The following is a 19,066-nucleotide window of genomic DNA, read 5'->3' as shown; positions in this document are numbered from 1 at the left end:
GCGCGCTGAGTTCGCGACCTCGAGTTGTAATCTGGCGGGGCGCCACTAAGCCGGCGCAGGCCTTCGCAAGATGGCGGCTGGAGGCAAGGGCAGAGGCCTTCAGAGCGTTTTCTTTTTCCCTTTCCTCCCTTCCTGCAAACAATGTAAGGCATTTTCTCTCAGGGGAGGCTTTCACTTCATGGTGGGCATTAAGGTTAAAAGTCACCATTTTGAAGACAGGGTTGTGCACTTAAGGGAGCTGGTTTAGCATATTATGTTTAACAGCAGTGTCCTGTCATTGAATGATACAGAAAATAATAACTGTCGCCAAAAAAGTGCAGCTACACACCTCCCCGTCGGGGAATTGAACCCCGGTCTCCCGCGTGACAGGCGGGGATACTAACCACTATACTAACGAGGAGTCGTTAGGCTGTGTATTTTCTCAGACAGCCCTTCAAGGAGCAGTAAGATCCTTCCAGCGCTCCGTAACCTTCCGCCTGCCCCCGGGAAGTACGAAAGTCCGGTCTCTTGGAGCCGCTGCTTAGGCTTATTGTCCTCTCTGGGCGCTTTGTATTCTTGATGTTGGTGGGAAGAATAAAAGGTGTGGAATATGTGAAGGAAACGCGCTTCCCATGTTAGTGCTAGAGAAGTGTGTGAAAATAGTTTTTCCGAGGCTCTTGACGCGTTCTAAATGATTTAGGTTGCCGTCCTGAGTTTTTTTTTTTTAACTGACCACTGGTATGTGACTTGCGGCTGAGCCTTCCCCTTACAAATTTATACTTTCACTCTGAAGTTCAAGTTCAAGGATAGCATATGGCTGCCAGATGTCGGGGACAGTTAGGGTTGCCACGGTCTCGTGCCTCTTCAAACAATTCATAAGTCTTTTTTTTTTGAGAGGAAGTCTCGCTCTGTCCCCTAGGCTGGAGTGCAGTGTTGCGATCTGGGCTCACTACAACCTCCACCTCCAAGGCTCAAGTGATTCTCCCGCCTCAGCCTCTCGAGTGGCTGGGATTACAGGCGCGCACCACCATGCCTGGCTAATTTTTGTATTTTACTAGAGACGCGGGGTGTGTGTGTGTGTGTGGGGGGGGGGAGGGTTCACCATGTTGGCCAGACTGGTCTCGAACTCGTGACCTTTAGTGATCCACCTGCCTCGGCCTCCCAAAGTGCTGGGATTTACAGGCGTGAGCCACCGCGCCCGGCCAATTCACACACTTTTGTAACACAAAAGCGCCCAATGAAATGACCAGCTGCGGGCAAATGAAATTTTATCAAAATTTTATCAGCCGACTTCTGTTTCGCTCTCTGTAGGTGGCTACAGTTTAACTGGAAGTGACAAACGTAAGTATGTGAATGGCTAAATAATAATGCGTTTAAATAATTCAAAACCAGGATGTGCCACTGATTAAACATATGGGTTAGGAAAGTGCACTAATCGGATAATTTGATAATTTGTGTCATCCTAAACCCGTTCATAGACAGGATGAACCCTCTTCCCAGGGATACTAAGAGAGCCTTATATGTAAACTTTTTTTTTTGAGACGGAGTTTCACTCTTGTTGCCCAGGCTGGAGTGCAGTGGTGCGATCTTGGCTCACTACCACCTCCGTCCCCCGGGTTCAAGCGATTCTCCTGTCTCAGCCTCCCGAGTAGCTGGGATTACAGGTGCCCACAAACACGCCCGTTCAATTTGTGTTTCTAGTAGAGATGGTAATTCACCACGTTGGTCAGGCTGGTCTCGAACTCCTGACCTAAGGTGATCCACCCACCTCGGCCTCCCAAAGTGCTGGGATTACAGGCGTGAGCCACCGCGCCTGGCTATAAACTTTTGATTTTCTCTAAAGGAGTGTGTTTATAGGCACAGATAAACTGACATGATTGAAAGCGTTTCATTATAGAACTTAAACTTACGTGTCTCGTCTCCGACCCAACCAATCAGGACTCCCAACTCACTGACCCCTACCCAACAAATTATCCTTAAAGATAATAAAAATAACAACAACAACAACAACAACAACAAAAACCCCACATATGTGTCTTAAGGAATCCCTTGTTTCTAGTGTGCTACGAATTAATGTATTATCCATCATAAATTATAAGGTATTTTTCATCTGATGGAAGGGATAATTTTTTTAATGCAGATATTAAACAAATGGCAGTTTCTGAGGCTTGTTTTGGCTTTTCTTTCTTTTTTGCTCTCATTATTATTATTATTATTTGAGACGGAGTCTTGCTCTGTCGCCCAGGCAGGAGTGCAGTGGCACGCTCTCGGCTCACTGCAACCTCCGCCTTCTGGGTTCGGGCGATTCCTCTGCCTTAGCCTCCCGAGTAGCTGGAACTACAGGCGCACGCCACCACTCCCTTTTGTATTTTTAGTAGAGTCGGGGGTTTCACCATGTTAGTCAGGCTGGTCTCAAACTCCTGACCTCAAGTGATCCACCCGCCTCGGCCTCAAGCGGCCGCGCTCAGCCCTTTTTCACTCTCTCTCTCTTTTCTTTTTTTGAGACGCAGTTTTGCTCTTGTTGCCCAGGTTGGAGTGCAATGGCACAATCTTGGCTCACTGCAACGTCTGCCTCCCGAGTTCAAGCGATTCTCCTGCCTCAGTCTCCCAAGTAGCTGGATTACAGGCATGTGCCACCACAGCCAGCTAATTTTGTATTTCTAGTAGAGACAGTTTCACCATGTTGGTCAGGCTGATCTAGAACTCCTGACCTCAGGTGATTCACCCGCCTCGGCCTCCCAAAGTGCTGGGATTACAGGCGTGAGCCACCGCGCCCGGCCCCTGTTTCACTCTTAACTACACCGAAAGCCTCAATACAAACTCTCAGTGTGTGGGAGCCTCCTTCCACTTTGATCCTCCAAAAACTTTTGCCAGGGCCAAAGGGCACTGTGATAGCTATGATGACGTCCTTTTCCTAGTAAAATCGAAGGGACTTCCCCAAGTCTCTCAGTTCGTAGAGCTATGGGGCAGTGAACCCAGTTCTCCTGAATCAACTGTTTGCCCCGTGTTCTGCACTCTCGGGAAAAGCAGCTTCATCTCTTCCTTTAGAAGAGACATCCTTTCCACTGAAGCTCTCGTAAAGCTATGCCAGTGCTCACACACGTGTTGTTACTGCTCCTTTTTCATCCCTGGTGAAAGTAAGAGGCAGTCTGAGTCAGTGAGATCAGGGAGCAGGGAACGCAGCACTTGCTGTCCATCATCCGAAAATGGAAAGGAAAAGAGAGGGCAATTAACCTGAACAGGGTGAGGGAGCTCAGAGGTTCCTCCCTGTCAGCACTGGGCAAAAATAAAGGTTAAAATCTGACTGGCAGTACAGAGGGCATGGAACTCTCTTCGGGAATAAATGGCATGATGACAATGAGTGTTATTCAAAGTTTCAAATCCTGCTCTTCCTAAAGAACTATGCTGCATATCTCAGCTTGCTAAATGATTCACATTCATTTTATTTTCTCAACAACCTGTTAGGTCAATGGGACAAGTGTTTTTATTCCTATTTGGGAATCTTCTGCAGGATCACACAGATAGGAGGTGGTGAAAGGCCAGGAATCACCCAAGCTCTGACTGCAAAAACCAGTTTTCACCCTACCTGCACAGTTCCATATACATGTATATTAACAAATAAGTACATGCTATGGAGAGAAAAACTTTATAACTAGTATCAACATATGTGTCACCCTTGTTCCTATATTAATATTTGCTAATCTTTAATTACTTGGCAGACACTGTAGTTATTCATTAACTTATTGAACCTGCAACGTGCCAGACATTCTTTTAGATGCATGGGGAGGTTCTCATAAATACATCTTGTTCTTCTAGATCTTTTATCCTACAGAAGAAATACAGATAATAAACAATGAATACGATAAATGGATACAAACATCATACATAAGTATGTCAGACAGTTATAAGAGCAGAAATAAAAATAGCAGAGTAAGGGGGTTTGGAGAGTAGCAAGTTAAATAGGTCAAGGTAAGCCTCATGAGAGGGAGTTTTGCTCTGTCACCCAGGCTGGAGGGCAGTGGTGAGAACTTGGCTCACTGCAACCTTGGCCTCCCGGGTTCAAGCGATCTTGTGCCACAGCCTCCTGAGTAGCTGTGCCACAGCCTCCTGAGTAGCTGTGCCACCACACCCGGCTAATTTTTGGTAGAGATGGGGTTTCACCATGTTGGCCAGGCTAGTATCGAACTCCTGGCCTCAAGTAATCTACCCACCTCGGTCTCTCAAAGTGCTGGGATTACAGGCATGAGCCACCGCGCCTGGCCAAAGGTATAATTTGAACATAGTTGAAGGAAGTAAGAGATGTAGTCATGCAGCTGTCTGGGAGGCCTGAGGGCCTTAGAGGTCATTGGAAAGACTTTGGCTTTTATAATTAGGGAAACGGGGACCCACTTCAGGGTTGTTGGATTTTTTTAACATTAAGAAAATTGATACATAGTAATTATACATATTTATGGAGTGCATGTGATATTTTAATACATGCATACAATGTGTAATGATTAAATCAGGACATTCAGCATATCCGTCACCTGCAACATTTATTATTTCTTTGTGCTGGGAATATTTCAAATCCTCTCTTATAGCTATTTTGAAATATACAATAAAGTATTGTTAACTGTAGTCACCCTACTGTGCTATTCAACACTAGAATTTATTCTTTTCTTTTTTTTTTTTTTTGAGACAGAGTCTCGCTCTGTTGCCCAGGCTGCAGTGCAGTGGCTTGATCTTGGCTCATTGCAATCTCCGCTTCCCGGATTCAAGCCTCAGCCCCCACTAGTACCTGGGATTACAGGCACGCACCACCACACTTGGCTAATTTTTGTATTTTTAGTAGAGACGGTGTTTCACCATGTTGGCCAGACTGGTCTCTAACTCCTGACCTCAGGTGATCCACTCGCCTCCACCTCCCAAAGTACTGAGATTGTAGGCATGAGCCACCGTGCCTGACCTAGAATTTATTCTTGCTATCAGATTGTATGTTTATACCCATTAACTAACCTGTCTTCATCTCCTTCACCTTGCCCTTTCCTAGCCTCTGGTAAGTATCATTCCTCTCTAACTTCCTGAGAACTGCAGGGTTTTGAACAGAGTAGTGATATGGTCAGATTTATGTTTTAAAGGGTCTTTGGCTGGGCAACATAGCAAGACCCCATCTCTACTAAAAATTAAAAAAAATTAACTGGGTGTTGTGGCTCACACCTGTAGTCACAGCTACTTGGGGAGCTGAGGTGGGAGGATCACTCGAGCTCAGGAGTTCGAGGCTGCAGTGAGCTATGATCATAGCTCTGCACTTAAGCCTGGGCAACAGAGTGAGACTGTCTCAAGAAAAAAAAAGGATCTTTGGCTACTGGATTGAGAGTAGTTTGTAGGAGGGCAAGAGCAGAAACAAGAACTATGAAGTCTATTGCAATAATCCATATGGGAGATGTTGGTGGGTGGTTCAGGCTACAGTGAAAGTGATGGAGAAGGTGAGAGGCGCTGATGTACTTTGTTTATTTTTTTGAGACAGGATCTCACTCTGTCACCCTGGCTGGAGTGTAGTGGCGCAATCAGGGCTCACTGCAGCCTCAACTTCCTGGGCTCAAGAGATCCTCCCACCTCAGCCTCCTGAGTAACTGAGACCACAGGTGCATGCCACCACGCCCAGCTAATTTTTGTGTTTTTTGTAGACTGTTTCATAATGTTGCCCAGGCTGGTCTCGAACTTCTGGGCTCAAGGGGTCCTCCTACCTTGGCCTCCCAAAGTGCTAGAATTACAGGCCTGAGCCACTGTGCCTGGCCCCAAGTGCTATGTATTTTGAAGGTTGAGTCAATAGAATTTCTTGGTAGAGTAAATGTGAGATATGAGTTAAAAAGAGGAGTCAAGGATGCCTCCAGAATTTTTGGCCTGAGCAACTGGAAGGATGGAGTTGCCATCACTGAGGTTGAGAAGAGTAATGCACAACTCCAGAGGGCACCATTCATATTGGCAGTCATGTGAAGGGCATAACTGGGAAGAAGTTGTTAAAATAAAAACTTCAGCTGAATTAAATGTAAAGGAATTTGGCCAGGAGCAGTGGCTCACGCCTGTAATTCCAGCACTTTGGGAGGCCGAGGTGGGAGGATCACCTGAGGTCAGGAGTTTGAGACCAGTCTGGCCAACATGGTGAAACCCCGTCTCTACTAAAAATACAAAAATTAGCCGGGCATGGTGGCGCGTGCCGGTAATCCCAGCTACTTGGGAGGCCGAGGCAGGAGAATCGCTTGAACCCGAGAGGTGGAGGTTTCAGTGAGCAGAGATCAAGCCACTGCACTCCAGCCTGGGCGACAGAGCAAGACTCCATCTTAATAAATAAATAAATAAATGTAAAGTAGTTTATCTGAGCAATAAACTATTCGCGAATCGGGCAGCCCCCAGAATCACAGCAAATTCAGAGAGACTCCAGGGATGCCTGGTAGTCAGAACAAATTACAGGCAAAAAAAGGGAAGTGAGGTACAGAAATCGGAAGTGAAGTACAGAAACAGCTGGATTGGTTACAGGTTGGCGTTTGCCTTATTTAAACACAGTTTGAACACTCAGCAGTGTATGAGTGGTTGAAGTATGGCTGCTGTGATTGGCCAAGACTCAGCTATTGTTAGAGTCGTATACTTCTAAATTAGGTTTTCAATCTTGTCTACCCATTAAGTTAGCTTATGGTTGTCCATAAGGACTCAAATATGGAAGTACGGAGTCCTTCTCTGGCCATATTTAGTTCACTTTAACAGAGGCAAGATGCCATCCATAGACTGTGCTGTGGATGGCACTCCTTGGAATTGTGCACTATGGCAGCCCTGCATGTGGAGTAATGACCCTGGTGGGAGCAGGGGGATGATCAACATTTCAGTTTTGGACATGTTAAGGTTGAGACATGAAGTAGTCAGTTGAATATAATGGTTGAACACTCATTGTGTAGGTAAAACACAGTACTAGGTTCTGGAGATACAGTGATGAACAAAGACCCTGGTCTCAAGGAGCTTTTATTTCAGTGGAGGAGACACATAACACTAGTAAAAGAATAACAAAAATAAAAAAGTAAAATTACAGGCCGTGTGCAGTGGCTCACACCTGTAATCCTAGCACTTTGGGAGGCCGAGGTAGGCGGATTGCCTGAACTTAGGAATCCGAGACCAGCCTGGGCAACACGGTGAAACCCCGTCTCTACCAAAATACAAAAAATTAGCGGGGCATGGTGGTGGGCACTCCCAGCTACTTGGGAGGCTGAGGCAGGAGAATTGCTTGAACCTGGGAGGGGGAGGTTGCCGTGAGCAGAGATCGTGCCACTGCATTCCAGCCTGGGCGTCAGAGCGAGACTACGTCTCCAAAACACACAAACCAAAAAAAGTAAAATTACAACTGTGACAGTTACTAAGATAATGGGGAAGAGCAAAGGAAAGAGCTTCTTAGGTAGATGGAACTGGATGTGCTAAGGTTGTAGGAACAGAGGAAATGTGGTGAGTAGAGGGTGTGAAAGAAGGCAGAAGTGACTAGAGAGGAGCAGAGGGTGAGCAGCATCATGGGGAGATGAGGCTGAAAAGGCTGATGGGAGTAGGACAATGCAGGGCCTTCCAGGCTGTGTTGAGAACTTTTGGGGGAGTGCCTCTTATTTCTGTCTGTCTGTCTGTCTGTCTGTCTGTCTCCACTTACTTATTTACTATTTTTAGGGTTTATTGAGGTATAATTTATGAGGGTAAAATTTACTCTTTTTAAGGGTACTAGTCTATGAATTTTGACCATAATTAAGATGTAGGCTGGGCACAGTGGCTCGAACATGCAATCCCAGCACTTTGGGAAGCTGAGGCAAGAGGATCATTTGAGTCCAGGAGTTCGAGACCAGCCTGGGCAATATGGTAAGACCCCCCTCATCTTTACAAAAAATACAAAAATTACCAGGTGTGGTGGCATGTGCCTGTGGTCTGGGCTACTCAAGAGGCTGAGGTGGGAGAATTGCTTAAGCCCGGGAGGCAAAGATTGCAGCGAGCTGAGATTGAGCCATTGCACTCTAGCCTAGGTGACAGAGCCAGACACTGTCTCCAAACAAACAAACAAACAAACAAACATACATTTATCCTAAGATCCAGCAACACTGCTCGTAGATATTGACCTGAGAGAAATGAAGACATATGTCCACAAAAAACCCTGCACACTTATGTTTATAATGGCTGTATTTATAATAGTCAAAAACTGGAAACTACCCAAATTTTGGAAATTTGAGTTTAATAGATTATGGGAAATTACAAGAACTTACTGTCCATAAACATTAAAATTGAAAGGTGAATGTTTTTGATTTGGGCCTGGAAGGCAAATTAGATGGATACATGTTTAAATTATTAAAGTGAGGGGTGGGGAAGATATTCGGGATGCTCATACTTCACTATTCCCCAGTCTTTATTTATTTATTTATTTATTTATTTATTATTTTTTGAGACAGAGTCTTACTCTGTTGCCCAAACTGGAGTGCACTGGCGCCGTATCGGCTCTGCATCCTCTACCTCCTGGGTTCAAGTGATTCTTCTGCCTCAGTCTCCTGAGTAGTTGGGATTACAGGTGTGCACCACCACGACCGGCTAAGTTTTTTGTATTTTTAGTAGAGACGGGGTTTCACCATGTTGGTCAGGCTGGTCTCAAACTCCTGACCTCAAATCATCTGCCTGCCTTGGCCTCCCAAAGTGCTGGGATTATAGGCATGAGCCACTGGGCCCAGCCTCTAATTTATTTAAATAATAATTTAAAGTTAAAACTGAGAGGAGGTGGGTGGACCTCGAGGTCAGGAATTCAAGACCAGGTTGGCCAATATGGTGAAACCCTGTCTCTACTAAAAATACAAAAATTATCTGGGCATGGTGGCATGTACTTGTAATCCCAGCTACTGGAGAATTGCTTGAACTGGGACCCTGGAGGCGTAGGTTACAGTAAGCCGAGATCACGCCACTGCACTCCAGCCTGGGCGACAGAGCGAGGCTCTGTCTCAAAAAAAAAGCAAAAAACAAAAAACTGAGAGGCAAAAGTCTGTCTCCCTTCAGCTCGACTAACACTTAGTCTTTTCTTTCCCTCCTTATTTAAAAAAATAAATCTTTATTGATTTATCTTTTGTGCCAAGCATGGAGATAGGCATTGGGCACAAAAAATTAGTAAGACTCACTTCTTGCCCTCAAGGAACTCAAATTTCTTGAGGGAGGTGGACTTTTAACTGATAGTTACAATACAATTTGGTAAGTGCTATGGTGGAGGCATAGCTCATGCTGATGGAGAGCCTGCTATGCCTTAGGCTTCAAGTGCCTTATATAATATTAACCATTGTCCAAGGACAAAGTTATAACAGATTTAAAGATCTTAATTGGCTTCCATTTGTGATTCTAAAATCAGGCAACATCTCATTCCATAAAATAGAATGAGTATTTCAATGAGCTGAACAGAAGAGTTTGGCTTTTATTTTATTTTTGAGACAGAGTTCCGCTCTTGGTGCCCAGGCTGGAGTGCAGTGGCACAACCTCAGCCCACTGCAACTTCTGCCTCCCAGGTTCAAGAGATTCTCCTGCCTGAGCCTCTTGAGTAGCTGGGATTACAGGTGCCCACCACCATGCCCAACTAATTTTTTGTAGTTTTAGTAGAGACGGGGTTTCACCATGTTGGCCAGGCTGGTCTCAAACTCCTGACCTCAGGTGATCCACCTGCTTTGGCCTCCCAAAATGCAGGGATTACAGGCATAAGCCACCTTGCCTGGCCAAGGTTGGCTTTATAGACAAAAAAGGGTTGAGCAAAGCAGAAACAGAAAACACAAAGTGGATTGGTGCTTTAAAGTTACTTTCCGTTTAAAGGTTAAAGCAGAGTGGACCTTCTTATCATTCCAGCGAAAACTGACCTGCTTGGGGATTTGACTATTATATCTCGCTGCTGATTTCTTTCTCTCTTTTTTTTCTCTCCTTTTTTTGAGACAGGGTCTTGCCCTGTCACCCAGGCTGGGGTGATCACAGCTCATTGCAATCCCTGCCTGAACCGGTCTTCTCACCTCAGCCTCTGGAGTAGCTGGGATCAGAGGCACGCGTCACTATGCCACTAATATTTTGTATTTTTTGTAGAGGGATGGTGGTGGTGTTGGGGGGTGGGGGCTCTCCATGTTGCCCAGGTTGGTCTTGAACTCCTGATCTCAAGCTCAGCACCTGCCTTGGCGTCCCAAAGTGCTGAGATTACAGGTGTGAGCCACCATGCTCCGCCCCCTCCTGATTTCTTGGAAGGTCAGATAAACAACTTATTTTCAGCTTAGTGGTGTGGAACTCCAGCATGAGTGACTCTATTTTGGTTTGTCTGTTGGGCCTAGTGTAGGAACTCAGTTCAAACCAATGACTTACTATACATTTTATTTAATACCATTTAATCCTTATTTAAATCCTATGAGTTTGCTATAATAATTTTCTCCTTTTTACAGTGAGGAAACTGAGGCACTGGAAGATGAAGGCTACAGAGGTAGAAAGTGATGGAGGTATGTGCAGAATACTACGGGATTACAGAGAGGGAAGGGCTGGAGTGGTCAAAGAAAGACCTATTTTTAGCTGGGCCACCAAAGAATGATGATGAACTTAGAAAAAGAATGGGGGAAATGTTTTCCAGCACTTAGGGAACAGAGAAACATTAATACAAAGGCTCAGAGCATGTGGCAATTTGGGAAAAGTGGCAATGCGGGAAAGAGTATATGGTGGAGGGGCTGCTGCTTAGGGGACTGGAGTGGCAGGGGGCAGGAAATGTCTTCACCTTTCATTATAATGCATGACTGGGGAGAATTAAACATCACAATCTTTGAGGAACTGACAGGAACCTTACCTATCTTCTTGATCCTTTCGTTATACAGATAAGGAAACTGAGGCCAGACAGCTCCAGTGATTTAACTAAATTCCTGTGGCCGAGAACATCACCTTTATCTGTTGCTGTAAATTAAGGAATCTGTGGGCTTAGTGATTAGGTGTCCCTCAGAGGTTTTCAGGGCCTCAGATCTTGCCATCACTTTCCTTAGAGTTATCTGTTCCTGGGCTGGCCTAAGCTTCCTGTCCTTTAAGGAACCTGCCTGCCAACATTGGCCCCAACCCAACAGGAGATCAGTGACCTCCGTTTTCCTGACTTTTTTCCTGCCCTACTGACCACCTGCTGACCTATCCCGGTTAATAGCTTTACTGATCTGTCTAGCTTTGAGGCAAACACTAGCCCCAGTGTGAGGAACAAAGGGTCCTGGTGACCCACACCCCCTGGCCCTTTGGCATTCAGTCCTCAGGCTACCCAGAAGGACAAATTATTCAGCCTGTTTGGGGTGGGATGGAACAGTTTCTACTTCTTTTCTTTGGATTTTTTTTTTTTTTTTGAGACCCGTCTCACTCTGTCACCCAGGCTGGAGTGCAGTGGTGTGACCTTGGCTCACTGCAACCTGCGCCTCCCAAGTTCAAGCAATTTTCATGCCTCAGCTGCCCGATTAGCTGGGACTACAGGTGCGGGCCACCATGCCTGGCTAATTTTTGTATTTTTAATAGGGATAGGGTTTCACCATGTTGACCAGGCTGGTCTCAAATTCCTGACCTTGTGATCCGCCTTGGACTTCCAAAGTGCTGGGATTACAGGTGTGAGCCACTGCGACAGGCCTTTTCTTTAGTCTTTCCGTGTTTTCTAAACACAAAGCAACAGAAAAACTTCTGCTTCAAATGCATGACTCAGGTCTGGCATTCAAGTTGCTGCTATTTTGGGAAAAAAGCTGCCTGTAGCTTTTGAAATTTCTTATTCTCCTACCTGTGATTAACTCATATGATTAGCAAAGTTTTATTATCAGAATTTATCAATAAAATGAAGTTAGTGATCTAGAAAATAAGAAGAGAACCAGCACAAAATAGCACGCAGAATCCCATTTTTTTTCTATGCATTTGTAAGTACTGGAAACGTCTGGTGGCTGGGTGCGGTGGCTCATGCCTGTAATCCCAGCACTTTGGGAGGCTGAGGCGGGAGGACCACTTGAGGTCAGGAGTTCGAGACCAGGCTGGCCAACAGAGTGAAACCCCGTCTCTACTAAAAATACAAAAATTAGCTGGGCGTGGTGGTGGGTGCCTATAATCCTAGCTACTCGGGAGGCTGAGGCAGGAGAATCACTTGAATCTGGGAGGCGGAGGTTGCAGTGAGCCTAGATCGCGCCATTATACTCCAGCATGGGGACAGAGTGAGACTCCGTCTCAAAAAAAAAAAAAAAAAAAAGGAAGAAAGAAAGAAGAAAACATCTGGAAAGAAGTAGCTGAAGATATTAAAAGTAGTTATATCTGGGTTAAGAGTGTGTTGATGATCGCTGTTCTTTTTGCTATTCCACCTTTTCTAAATTTTCTACTATGTGCATATATTGAACTCAGAAAAGCAAACAATAAAATTTTCTTTAAAGTTATTAATATTAGGCAAAGCAAATAGCTCAAATGTACATTTGTGATAGTCCTCTTAGCCTATGACATGTTGAGTAATGTATTCTAGTTTGGTTTTCCTTGTTAGCCAGATTTCATTATTTTGCAGCTTAAGTTGTTTATTTCTAGTTCCTTAAGGTGGGGAGGAGGTGAGGAGGTGAGGAGGGTGAAGAAGCAAATTCCACTTCAGTAAAACAGGGCGTGCAGCCTTTTCCCCTGAGTCCCTTTGTCTCAAGGCCCCTGTGTTCCGGGTCTTTTGTTGTTCTCTGCATGGACTTTGATTCGAGATTTAAAGAAAAACAAGTGCTGGCCCTCCTTGCGCCCTCTGGTGTCCCAGTGAGGTATAACCGGACAAACCGCACAAAGATCACAGCCATTTTCACACAGCGCTCCCCCGACACAGTGATGCCTGGAGACGGGAATGTCTGGAATCTTAGAGGAAGGAATCACACACCGACAAGCATGGCAGGCTTAGTCTTTGAAACTTAATCAGAGCCTGTAAGTATGGATACTGTTTTTTAAAAAATTAAAAGCAGTATCTGGACTGCAAGTATTTAAAAAACCTAATAGGAAATAAGTCAACTCTCAAAGCATTTGGCACAGCTTTCTGGGTTCTAAAACTAAGAAAATCTTACTACATATGTTGTTTTATAAATACAGCATAAACCAGTACTTTGTTATTTGTTTTAAAAATTTCTTTTAGAGACAGGGTCTTGCTCTGTCACCCAGGCGGGAGAGCAGTGGTGCAATCTTAGCTCACTGCAGCCTTGAATTCCTGGCCTCGGGTGATCCTCCATGCTTCCGCCTCCCAAAGGACTGGGTTTACAGGTGTGAGTCACTGTGCCTGGCCTAGAACTTTGGATTAATTGCAAATAAATTAGGTGAAAGAGAGGTCTGGATACCTAGGCTTTAGCTTGACTGAGGATAATGATTTCCGCAACTTTAAGCTTTACCATGTAGACCAAAAATAAAATTCTAAGCTCCCCAATCAGTTGAATGGATGCCTCCTTGTCCAGGGGCATTCCAAAGTTACCTGAAACGCTAGTTCATGTCATGATGGGAACAGGTGGTCAGACAAGCCTCATTATACTCTCCTCCCTTTGGGACAGAGTCCCTTTGGGATTCAGGCACATCTGACCAGCATTAACATAAGTCTGACAAAGAAGGCTTTTTGTAGCAGTAAGATACCAACATGACAGACAGCAGGCCCTGAAGTAAATTGAAGTAGTTTACCCCAAAAAATATATATATATTTTTGACACATTTTGAAATGGCCCTGCAAAGGTGTCTCTTGTGGGGAAAATCTACTTTCAGTAGAGAATCCCCTTCCCTTTCCAGATATTTTTCCTTAACCAGGAGAGAATTTACTGAGAGTCTTGCACCTTAAAAAGGTAAAAAATAAAATTTTTGGCTGGGCATGGTGACTCACGCCTATAATCCCAGCACTTTGGGAGGCCAAGGCAGGTGAATCACCTGAAGGTCAGGAGTTCGAGACCAGCCAGGCCAACATGGTGAAACCCCATCTCTGGCTAATACAAAAATTAGCCAGGCATGGGGTGGGGGTGTGGGCGCCTGTAATCCTAGCTACTTGGGAGGCTGAGGCAGGAGAATTACTTGAACCTGGGAGGTGGAGGTTGCAGTGAGCCGAGATCACACCATTGCACTCCAGCCTGGGCAACAAGAGCGAAACTTCGTCTCAAAAAATAAAATAAAATAAAATAAAATAAAAAAAATAAATAAAAATTAAAAGTTTTACAATCTGACCTGGTGCTGTGGCCCACTCCTGTAATCCCAGCACTTTGGGAAGCCGAGGCAGGTGGGTTGCTTGAGCCCAGGAGTTCGAGATAAGTCTGGGCAACACGGTGAAACCCTGTCTCTACTAAAAATACAAAAATTACCAGGACGTAGTGGCGCGCATCTGTAATCCCAGCTACTCCAGAGGCTGAGAGGTGCGAGGATGGCTTGAGCCTGGGAGGTTGAGGCTGCAGTTAGCTGAGATTGCACCACTGCACTCCAGCCTGGGTGATGGAGTGAGACCCAGAAATAATTACAATGTGTTCTTTCTGAAGCCTGCTACCTGGAGGCTTTATCTGCATAACAAGAACCTTGGTTTTCGCAACCCCTTATCTTAATTCAGGCACTCCCTTCTATAAATTTCAGGTCTTTAGATAAACTCTTTCAACTAACTCCCAATCAGAAAATCTTTGAATTCACTCATGATGTAGAAGCGCCCCATCCACCCTCACTGAACCAATGTACATCTTACATGTATTTTTTGATGTCTTCTGTCTCTCTAAAATGTGTAATAAAAAGCTGTAGTCCGACCACTTTGAGCACACGTTCTCAGGATTTCCTGGGGCTGTGTCACTGGCCATGGTCACTCATATTTGGCTCAGAATAAGTCTCTTCAAATATTTTACAGAGTTTGACTCTTTTCTTCATCGACAATCAATATGTGAGAGTTGATACTGAAGGTCCCTTTTGTCTATAATATACTTCATTCTATCGCATTTTTCACCAGACTGTTTTGTTTGGTTTTTATAGAGATGAGATCTCACTTTGTTGCCCAGCCTGGTCTCTTGGGCTTAGGAGATCCTCCCTCCTCAGCCTTCTAAAGTTCTGGGATTACATGTGCGAGCCCCCACCCTCAAACTGTGCCTTTTTTTTTTTTTTTTGAGCCCGAGTCTCACTCTGTCACCCAGGCTGGAGTATAGTGCCACGATCTCGGCTCACTGCAACCTCCACCTCCCGGGTTCAAGCATTTCTCCCTGCTTCAGCCTCCCGAGTAGCTGGGATTACAGGCGTCCGCCACCATGCCTGGCTGATTTTTTTTTTCTTTTTTTTTGTATTTTTAGTAGAGACAGGATTTCGCCATGTTGGCCAGACTGGTTTTGAACTCCAGACCTCAGGTGATCTGCCTGCCTCAGCCTTCCAAAGTGCTGGGATTGCAGGTGTGAGCCACTGCACCTGGCTAAACTGTGCTTTTTAAAATTGTATTTCCACTAAAAAAATGTAGATGTAAAATATTTTTGGTTTAAATACTTGATTGATAAGATCTCAGGCGTGGTGGCCCATGCCTGCAATCCCAGCACTTTGGGAGGCTGAGGCGGGTAGATCACCTGAGGTCAGGAGTTCGAGAGCAGCCTGGCCAACATGGTGAAACCCCATCTCTACTAAAAATACAAAATTAGCCTGGCATGGTGGCATGCGCCTGTAATCCCAGCTCGGGAGGCTGAGGCAGGAGAATTGCTTGAACCTGGGAGGTAGAGGTTGCAGTGAGCCGAGATCACACCATTGCACTCTAGCCTGGGCAACAAGAGTGAAACTCCATCTCAAAAAAAAACAACAACAAACAAACAAACAAAAAAACCTCAGGCATTACAGTTTTATTTGAATAGGCAATTCATGCACACAGAACAAAGTTCAAAAAGTACCAGATACCAGGAGGTATAAGGTATGGAGAGGAAAGTCTTTCTCCCATTTTTTCTTCTCTTTTCTTTCTTTTTTTTTTTTTTTTTGAGACAAGCTTCTTTCTGTCACCCAGGCTGGAGTGCAATGGCGTGATCCCAGCTTGTTGCAACCTCTGCCTCTCGGCTTCAAGCAGTTCTTCTGCCTCAGCCTCCAGAGTAGCTGGGATTATAGGCATGCCACCATGCCCGGGTAAGTTTTGTATTTTTTAGTAGAGACAGGGTTTCACTAGGTTGGCCAGACTGGTGTCGAACTCCTGGCCTCAAGTGATCTGCCTGCCTCGGCCTCCCAAAGTGCTGGAATTATAGGCATGAAACACATGCCCAACTTCTCTCCCATTTCTAACTCACAACAATTCTCTTGAGTGATGTTGGGGTTGGTCTGGCAGCTCAACAAGGCCATCATAGGCTTTGAGTACTCTCTTCTTGTTCTGGGTCTTTCTTCTCTGCTACCTTTAGCAAAAGGACATTTCTTTTCATGATTGTCACTTCATGTCTGCAAAGTAGCTGCTGCAGCCATCATGGCCAGTTTCAAGGCTGGAACATGAGGGAAGAGGCAGCTCCAGCACACTATACTTTTGAATGTCCCTTTTTACTGGGAGAAAGCCTTTCCAGGGAAATCCTGACAGTTGTTTTCCTGTTTCATTAACCACTATTGGGCCACACAGAGGCTGGGAAACTGACTGCCAGGCAAAAGGGTATGAATAATGATTCTAATATTAGTTTTTTTTTTTTTTTATTCTAGTTTTCTGTGCTGGGTGTAAGAGCTGAAATTTGTTAGTATAACACCATTTTTCCTCAATTCAACAATGATGTTTTCATCATTTCTATTTCAGGAGATACATCCAGAAGACTGCATTACAATTTCAAATCAAAGCTGGACAAGTTTTTTTTTTTTTTTACACAGATATCACCATGTTAGAAAAGTTGGACAAGTTTTGAAACCATTCTGAACCTATCATTCCTGTCTTTCAAATCCTTCCAAGGCATCTTATTATTGATTTGTTTCTATATTTTCCTCATTATTAAAGAGGTTGAGTATCTTTTCTCTAGAGCTAGTTTGGGTTCTGATTTTCTTCACTTTCGTGATGGAGTCATTTTAGAATTGAAGGGCATCATAGCAACTGAGGCAGTGTTGACATCATCAATGTTTTAGGATTACAGGTAACCATATTTCCCAGTTTGCTTGGGACAAGGCCAGTTTGTACCTCTTGTCCTAGCATTTTTTTTTTTTTTTTTTTTTTTGAGACAGAGTCTCGCTCTGTCACCCAGATTGGAGTGCAGTGGCGTGATCTCAGCTCACTGCAATCTCCACCTCCTGGGTTCAAGTGATTCTCCTGCCTCAGCCTCCTGAGTAGCTGGTATTACAGGCACGCACCACCATGCCTGGCAAATTTTTGTATTTTTAGTAGACACGGGGTTTCGCCATGTTGGCCAGTCTGGTATCAAACTCCTGACCTCAAGTGACGCCCTGGCTCGGCCTCCCACAGTGATGGGATTACAGGCGTGAGCCACCGTGCCTGGCCCTAGTATATTTTTTAATAGCATTGCATTCAATCTCAAAAGTGTGTGAGTTTTGATGAAAAATTATATGGTGGTCATTTATTATCTGAAATACACATCAAAATACCACTATTGCCATTTTGCTCTGGTATCTTCATCAGTGGGTGCAGGATTGTCATGAAGGCGGGGGGAGGTTGTTCTGCTTCCTTCTCTGTTGCATCCCCAGAGCCCAGAACAGTGCCCAGCACCCAGTAAGTGCTTAATGAATATGAATGCATCTGCACATAAATTCGTTTCTTGGGGCTTGGCACATTGCCACTTGAACAAATGGATTCTATTAACAAGGAGTATGGAGCAATGATTTTGGGGTACACAACTCATGGCGCCTGCCAAAACATGCGCTTTAGATTTTGATAGATATCGTCAAGTTGTTCTCCGCAGGGGTTGAGCCAGTTTACACTCCCACCAGCAATATGTGAGAGCATCTGTTTCTCTAACCTTCACCCACATGGTGTTATCAAAATTTTTATCTGTGCCAATCTGGTATTTTAAATTTGCATTTTCTTTATTATGGAAAGATAGAGCATACTTTCATATGTTTAAAAGCCATTTGAAATTTCTAAGAACTGTCTGTTCATATCCTCTGCCCATTTTTTTTTTTTCAGTGAATTACTGGTCTTTTTCTTATCAATCCATAGGAATACAAATAGTTGTTCCAAGCTTTTCATGCCTTTTGAGTTTGTTTCTGGTGTTGTTACTAAGCAGAATTTAAAACATGTATTTATATTTAGCTTCTTTCGTTTTATTGCATCTATATTTTGCATCATGCTTAGAAAGGCTTTCCCAGATTGTAAAATAATTCTCCCATATTTTCTTGTCTTACTTTCAAGTTTTCATTTTTTTCACATGTAAGTCTTGATCTATCTGAAATTTATTTTGGTGTAAGATTTGAGATATGAATAAAATCTAATATTGTTTATTGAATAGCTCATCTTTTCCCCACTGGTGGAAACTCTAAAGTGTTCCTGATATTCAGAGACTATTTCCTATGAAACTTTTAACACTCTAGTAAATTCTAAGGAAAGAAACTCAAGGACAAAGCAGTCAGGATGGAATTTTATTTTATTTTTTTGTTGTTGTTGAGACAGAGTTTTGCTCTTTTTGCCCAAGCTGGAGTGCAGTGGCATGATCTCGGCTCACTACAACCTCCGCCTCCCGGGTTCAAGCGATTCTCCTGCCTCAGCCTCCCAAGTAGCTGGGATTACAGGCGCCTGCCACCACGCCTGGCTAATTTTTTTTTTTTTTTGGTATTTTTACTAGAGATGGGGTTTCACCATGTTGGCCAGGATGGTCTCGATCTCTTGACCTCGTGATCCGCCTGCCTCGGCCTCCCAAAGTGCTGGGATTATAGGCATGAGCCACTGCGCCCGGCCGGATGGAATTTTAATTTGTAGTTTCATGTCTTGCATTTCCTCAATTTATAATAACGCTATCTTTTATTAAGCATTTATGTGTTAAGCATAATACCACAGAAGACTGTATAAAAATACAGAGAGTTTATAGAATAATGGTAAAATGAACACCTGTGTACCTGTTATCCAGATGAACATGTAAAACTTTGCCAGTGACTTGAAAATCCTCTGCGTGCTCTACTTTAATCATCATCTTCTTCTTCCTCCTCAAGA

At 44.3% G+C, this 19,066-nt stretch overlaps 1 long non-coding RNA gene and 1 other non-coding gene across 2 annotated transcripts, besides 2 other annotated features; one reads left to right on the top strand and one right to left on the bottom strand.

Moving 5' to 3' along the window:
* Positions 1-310: an enhancer, noted in NCBI's record as "active region_6841". NCBI's record gives its function as "activates an Ori minimal core promoter by ATAC-STARR-seq in GM12878 lymphoblastoid cells {active_cell/tissue: GM12878}" and the evidence as "EXISTENCE:reporter gene assay evidence [ECO:0000049][PMID:35858748]".
* LINC02453 (long intergenic non-protein coding RNA 2453) lies at positions 48-18,359 on the top strand. The gene is made up of 4 exons (NR_038383.1): positions 48-143; positions 1,291-1,320; positions 10,419-10,472; positions 16,715-18,359. It is a non-coding gene; the product is annotated as a long intergenic non-protein coding RNA 2453 (long non-coding RNA).
* TRD-GTC1-1 (tRNA-Asp (anticodon GTC) 1-1) lies at positions 329-400 on the bottom strand. Its single transcript has one exon. It is a non-coding gene; the product is annotated as a tRNA-Asp (tRNA).
* Positions 13,078-13,372: a silencer, noted in NCBI's record as "tiled region #8350; K562 Repressive non-DNase unmatched - State 7:EnhWF". NCBI's record gives its function as "represses a minimal TATA promoter and a strong SV40 promoter by Sharpr-MPRA in K562 cells {active_cell/tissue: K562}" and the evidence as "EXISTENCE:reporter gene assay evidence [ECO:0000049][PMID:27701403]".
* Positions 18,360-19,066: the final 707 nt, after the last annotated feature.

Source organism: Homo sapiens, chromosome 12 (assembly GCF_000001405.40).
Source record: "Homo sapiens chromosome 12, GRCh38.p14 Primary Assembly".
Taxonomy (NCBI): Eukaryota; Metazoa; Chordata; class Mammalia; order Primates; family Hominidae; genus Homo; species Homo sapiens.
Note: the sequence above shows the minus strand (reverse complement) of the source record. Positions and strands in the feature narration are given on the sequence as shown.